The sequence below is a fragment of the Homo sapiens genome, chromosome 8 (genome assembly GCF_000001405.40).
Source record: "Homo sapiens chromosome 8, GRCh38.p14 Primary Assembly".
Classification (NCBI taxonomy): domain Eukaryota; kingdom Metazoa; phylum Chordata; class Mammalia; order Primates; family Hominidae; genus Homo; species Homo sapiens.
In genome coordinates this window covers 30,201,903-30,208,838 of record NC_000008.11, presented here as the reverse complement: position 1 = coordinate 30,208,838, position 6,936 = coordinate 30,201,903, and the positions used below count along the sequence as shown (strand labels likewise).

Genomic DNA, 6,936 nt, shown 5'->3' with positions numbered 1-6,936 from the left:
AAAATAAAATAAAAAACATTTAACCCTCAAATTTTCTTTTAAAAAATTAGTATTTTCTATTTGATTACTGATGGAAATTGATCATGTCCACATTCCCTCTGTGTTAGTCCGTTTATGTTGCCATAAAGGAATACCTGAGGCTGGGTGACTTATAAAGAAAAGAGGTGCATGTTGGCTTATGGTTCTGCAGGCTGTACAAGTACGGCACCAACATCTGCTTGGCTTCTGGTGAGACACCAGGGAGCTTACAATCATGGCGGACAATGAGGAGAAGGCAGTGTCACATGGCAAGAGCGGGAGCGAGAAAGAGAGGGGGAGGTGACACAATTTTTTTTTTCTTTTTTAGACAGGGCCATGCTCTGTTGATCCTGCTGGAGTGCAGTGGCACAATCATAGTTCACTGCAGCCTCAAGCTCCTGGGCTCAAGCCATTCTCCCATCTCCGCCTCCCAAAATTCTGGGATTATAAACATGAGCCAGTCCACACTCTTTTAAACAACCAGATCTCACGTGAGCAAGAGCTCATTCATTACTACAAGGAGGGCACCAAGCCATTCATGAGGGATGCACCCCCATGATCCAACACCTCCCACTAGGCCGCCTCTCCAACATTGGAGGTCAAATTTCACCATGAGATTTGGAAGGGACAAACCCAAACCATATCACCCTTCCTTCCTTTCCTTCTTATCAATTCATAAAACAGAACATACTCCACCTATTGTTCCTCCCCTCACCCCAAATCCTCTTATTTTCAGTAAGGAAGAGTTGCCAAATAATAATATTTGATGGTAGTTTCTGATACGAGAAAGAGAATTGGATAGAGGCTGACGGCACATCCAACAGATGTGGGCAAAGGGCGAGTTACGTGTATGGGGAAATCTGTAAGATATCATCTAGACATTTTTATTTTGACAATTCATTCCCTTATTTGAAAAAGTAGTTTTCCAGTGTCTCATGGCTGTAATATCAATGCTTCTTCTTCTTTTTTTCCCCTCTTTCTTTCTGTGAATGGAATAATCCCAAAACTTTGGGAGGCTGAGGTGGGAGCATTGCTTGATGTCAGGAGTTCGAGACCAACCTGGGCAACATAGCAAGGCCCCATCTCTACCAAAAATTTAAAAATTAGCCAGACATGGTGGCAAGTGCCTGTAGTCCCAGCTACTTGGGAGGCTGAAGTAAGTGAATTGCTTGAGCCCATGAATTTGAGGCTATAGTGAGCTATGATCACACCACTGCACTCCAGCATGGGCAACAGAGGCTGACCGTGTTTCTAAAAAAAAACCCAACCAACCAACCAACCAACAAAACAAAAAAGAAAAACCTGGACCGAACTCACAGCATTAGAGCCATTTTTGTTCTGAATTGCTTTTTGGTTCTAATTCAGTTATTCCCTGCTTACTATGTACTATGCTGGGATACCTGGGGAAAGGCCAGGCTTTTACACACTACCTTCTGATATTGCCTTAGGTGGATCAAAGAATAAAATGGAACTGGGCATGGTGCCTTATGCCTGTAATCTCAGCACTTTGGATCACTTGAGTCTTGGAGTTCAAGACCAGTCTAGGCAACATAGCAAGACCCCATCACTACCAAAAATTTAAAAATTAGCCAGGCACAGTGGCATATACCTGTTGTCTCAGCTAATTGGGAGGACTGCTTGAGCCTAGGAGTCTGAGGCTGCAGGGAGCTATGATCGCACCACTGTACTCCAGCCTGGGTAACAGAGTGAGACCCTGTCTCAAAAAAAAAAAAAAAAAAAAAAAAAAAGGAAGGTTCTAAGGATTTGGAGGGAGGCAAAAGGGAAGAGCTATAGGAAGGCATATGAAGAGAGCCTTGGCCTTCAGGCCTAGATGGAATCTTGCTGGCTTTTTCTTTCTTTTTTTGTTTTTTTGAGACAGAGTTTCATGCTTGTTGCCCAGGCTGGAGTGCAATGGCACTATCTCAGCTTACTGCAACCTCCATCTCCCAGGTTCAAGCAATTCTCCTGCCTCAACCTCCCTAGTAGCTGGGATTACAGGTGTGTACCACCATGTCTGGCTAATTTTTTTTTTTGTATTTTTAGTAGAGACAGGGTTTCACCATGCTGGCCAGGGTGGCTTTGAACTCCTGACCTCAGGTGATCCACCTGCCTCGGCCTCCCAGTGTGCTGGGATTACAGGTGTGAGTGCTGGGATTACAGGCGTGAGCCCCCGTGCCCGGCCTCTGGCTGGCTTTTTCCAAGGTCAGCAATTGTGCTATTGATGCAAACCACTGTCTGTTGTAGCAAGTAGGATTCTCTCTCCACACCCCACACTTGGGCATTGCTGGGAGACTCTGGGGGCAGCTCTGGGGCCGCTCTGGGGCCTTAGGGGTATACAAGTAGGTTATTGAGGGCAGTAATCTCAGATCCAGATGTGCAGTGATAAGAGGAAAATCCTGTTTGGTTGGATTCTACAGTCTCTCTGACCTGCACTGGAAATATTTTCTGAGGACCTTCTAGCTGAAAGCTTCCTTTATGTGTGATGAGAACAATAGCCTTACTCTTTTTTCTTATTTGTCATGGCTACCAAAAATCACAGAGATGTTTTTCAGACCAATATATTGGGGACTTTATTGCTTCCAAATTTTCCAGGCAGAGAAGAAAGAACTAAACTTATGGGGAAAGAATACTGTGAGTTTAATTATTGTTTTTTATTTCCTGAAACACAAGGCTCAAAAGTTCCTGGGTCAAAAGAAGAATGCAGCAGGGCATAATGGCTCACTCACACCTGTAATCCCAGCATTTTGAGAGGCCGAGGTGGGAGGATTATTTGAGCCCAGGATTTCGAGACCAGTCAGGGCAACACAGCAAAACCTCATATCTATTAAAAAACAAACAAACAAACAAACAAACAAACAAAAAACTAAGAGTGGGATCACACACTGGCCGGTAGAACTTGATGCTGGACTGGGCTGGAGGGTCCACCCAATGGTGTCTTGTTCCAGAATTATTTTAAAGCCTTAAGAATGGATGTACTGGAAACAGTGGCTCCAGCCTGTAATCCCAGCACTTTGGGAGGCTGAGGCAGGAGGATCACTTGAGGCCAAGAGTTTGAGACCAGCCTGGGCAACACAGTGAGACTTCATCTCAAAAATTAAAAAAAAAAAGAATGAGCGTAGCTGCAACTTCATTTGGTGACACAACATGGGTGAGAAGTGTAATACTGGTTGTGAAATATAATACTATTAGCTACCATTTATTAGCAACTCCTGTGTTCCAGATTTTCTGCTAACTGCTTTGTATACGTGGTCTCAAAGTCAAATCATCTCATAATCAGTCACAGTGGTTAGTTAGTCAGGGCTAGCACATCTGCTTTTCCACATTCCCTGTTGCTCTGTTCATTTCTACTTTATTAACCTTGATGTATACACATTCTCAATCTTAACCCCCTGCAAATTACTGTTAGAAAGAGGAAGCATACAAATCAGGGAAACAAATATTTGGAATGATTTTCTAAAGAGTGATCAATTGTGAAGGCTTTGTTTGTTCTAAAACTCTAAAGAATAGCCGGTGTAGTTGTACATTTTACTAGGAAGAAAAACAACCACCATTCTTGTTAAATTATTCTGCTAATGTTTACTTTGTTGAAACAGTGGTATTTTATGAAAACAAAACAGAAAAGTTTTTATTTGGGCATGGCAGGGGGCAAAGGCCTTTCCTCTATTACTAGGAACTGGTTGAGCATCCCTAATCCGAAAAATGGAAAATCCAAAATGCTCCAAAATCCAAAACTTTTTGACCACCAACATGATGCTCAAAGGATTAGAGCATTTTGGATTTCAGATTTTTGGATTAGGGTGCTCAACTGGTAATTACATAATGTAAATATTAAAAAAAAATCACTCTCAAATTCAAAACACTTCTGGTCCCAAGCATTTCAGAGAAGGGATACTCAACCTGTATTCTGGAAGGAGGCTTTGTCATTTCTATCACTGCCCTTGGATCGTAATGGACTTGTGGGGTGTCAAGTCTTCTAGAATGAAATCTGATTCAATCTCCTTTTCAGTATAAATAATGTGTAGTCATAGACACATAATCTTTGCACTTGTCCTCAGGAACAATGTATGCAGGTGTGTGTGCATATAAATACGTAAACCAAAAATAGTATTCTAAGCCAACTGATGGACCCTGTCCTCTCAGCCAACGGCATTCCAAAGTTAACCTGAAAAACTAGTTCAGGCCTTGATGGGAAGGGGACATGTCAGACATGCCTCCTCATTCCCTCCTCCCTTTTGGAATTCAGGCCCAGCTGACCAACATTAACATCAACACAGAGACCTGAAGACTGATAGGACAGACTCTTTAAGTCTGAAAAGAAGCATTTACAATCTATTCTCTCTGAAGCCTGCTACGTGGAGGCTTCATCTACATAATAAAACCTTCATCTCTACAACCCCTTATCTTCACCCAGACATTCTAGGTCTTTAGAAAAGAACTCTTTCAACCAATTGCCAATCAAAAAATCTTTGAATCTGCCTATGACCTGGAATGCCACCCCCACCTTCCAGCTGTCTCACCTTTCTAGACCAAACCAATGTACATCTTACGGGTGTTGATTACATGTCTCCCTAAAATGTATAAAAATGTATAAAATCAAGCTGTAGCCTGACCACCTTGGGCACATGTTCTTAGGATCTTCTGAGGCTGTGCCACAGGCCATTCATTGGTCACTCATATTTGGCTCAGAATAAATCTCTTCAAATATTTTACAGAGTTGGACTCTTTTTTTTTTCGACAAATATGTGGTATATATGTAATCGTTTCTTTTTTATTTTTATTTTTTCTTTTATTTTTTGAGATAGTGTCTCACTGTGCTGCCCAGGCTGGGGTGCAGTGGTGTGATCTTGGCTCACTACAGCCTCGACCTCCTAGGCTCAAGTGATCCTCTCACCTCAGCCTACTGAGGTAACTGGGACTACAGGCTTGCACCAGCATGCCTGGGTAATTTTTGTATTTTTAGTAGAGACAGGGTTTCACCGTGTTGCCCAGGCTTGTCTCAAACTCCTGAGCTCAAGTGATCCTCCCGCTTCAGCCTCCCAAGTGCAGGGATTACAGGCATGAGCCACCACTGTGCTTGGCCTGCATCATTTCTTTAAGCTGTTTCATTTCTCCTGAGTAGCCCTACAAAATTATGCAAAATAATTATGTACAATAACCTAATAGAAATATAAACTTTTAAAAGAGAATTTAGATTTCCAGAGAGGAGGACAGCTGCCCATTGACAAGAACTCCTGCCACTGGGAAGCCTTTTTGTTTTTTTAGAGACAGAGTTTCACTCTTGTTGCCCAGACTGGAGTGCAATGGTGCGATCTTGGCTCACTGCAACCTCCATCTCCCAGGTTCAAGTGATTCTCTTGCCTCAGCCTCCCAAGTAGCTGGGACTACAGGCATGTACCACCATGCCTGGCTAATTTTGTATTTTTAGTAGAGACAGGCTGGTCTCGAACTCCCAACCTCACGTGATCCACCCACCTTGGCCTCCCAAAGTGCTGGGATTACAGGCATGAACCACCACACCCAGCAGGAAGCCATTTTTACCCTTGGGGGGAGTATGTGCCACCTGGGAAACTTTTAAAGTTTTTCAGAGATTTTGAGGTCTGGCCTAGGGGTGTCAATGCACAACCAAGGTCAAGGGCTTCCACAGACTCTCTCATAATCTGGGTGTAACCCTTCTGTGAGGACCATGGCAAATGGGACCCTAGACTAGAATAATCAGAGCTGAAGGGAGTGCTCACAGTCATCCACTACTGTATTGAGCACCCTTGACATAACTAACTCCATCTTAGAAAAAGACTCCATTTTATATTTCACAGGGGACTCTGCCAACAAGGATAAGATGTTTTGTTTAATACACAAATAAAAAGATAAAGACTGCATCCAACCAGATAAAGACACAAACAGGCACACTCTTCCAGGATCAGTTCTCACCAGAGGACTCTGTGACTATAAGAGGTCAGGCTTTCAGCAGCTTGAAATGGCTGTCTTAAATGACACTGTCTGGCGGTCACTCGTGATAAGAACTTTGCATCTGTGTCTGAAGGCTCTGCCACATAAAACACTCTTCCTTGAAAGACTGACCTGGCCCAGGCCCAGACTCCTTTTGTCTCTGCTTCCCTGGTCTGGTCCATTAACCCTTTCTCCTATCTCTTTTTTCTGAAATTCGGGAATACTTAGACAAGCAAATTCCTTTTCAAATGAGTGGAGTAGGAGACATGGATGATTGCTCTCAGCTCCTGCCCCTCTTTCCTGAGAGCTGCCCCTGTTCAGGAGCAGCAGTTGTGCTTGCAATACAGGACCACACACTCTCTGGATCCTGAGAGTTTCAAGTTGGGACTGTGAGATGCTACTTAGTCATTCCTGCAGGGCAAGCAACAGAGGACACATAAACCAGGGAGCTGAGAGCTGCCACGGTGGGTCTTGTGCGTGCATAAGCAGTGACCACGTGTGACTGCTGAGACCTACAGAGCAGACAAATTCGAGAAAGAATGAAAGCACAGGCAGCCGGCGCCGGCTTCCTGGTCCAGCCCTCTGTGGGGCTGGCTATCCTCGGTGCTCTTGGAATCCATTAGCTATCTCCAAGGCCTCCCAGAAAAGGCCTTTTGCTTAAGCTAGTTTGAAGTAGTGTTTTTATCTCTTGGCCCCCAAATCCTTAATTAGGAAAAATGGTAACCAAGGCAAAATGCATAACTTAAGCAATAATTAACATGGAGATAGAAATGCAAATGGAAGCAAACATTAAGGATGTATTAGTCATCTTTCCCTGTTGAAAATCTTACAGCAATCATTCTTAGCTTTTTGAGGATGGCAGTAGTTAGAATTTTTTTTTTTTTTTTTTTTGAGACAGGGCTTGCTCTGTCATCCAGGCTGGAGTACAGCGGTGCAATCACGGTTCACTGCAGCCTTGACCTCCCAGGCTCA

General features: G+C 43.5%; 1 annotated feature.

The window, feature by feature from the left end:
* Positions 4,056-4,723: an enhancer, noted in NCBI's record as "OCT4-NANOG hESC enhancer chr8:30061632-30062299 (GRCh37/hg19 assembly coordinates)". NCBI's record gives its function as "activates a minimal SCP1, AML or CMV promoter by ChIP-STARR-seq in naive and primed H9 embryonic stem cells {active_cell/tissue: H9 hESC(naive and primed)}" and the evidence as "EXISTENCE:reporter gene assay evidence [ECO:0000049][PMID:30033119]".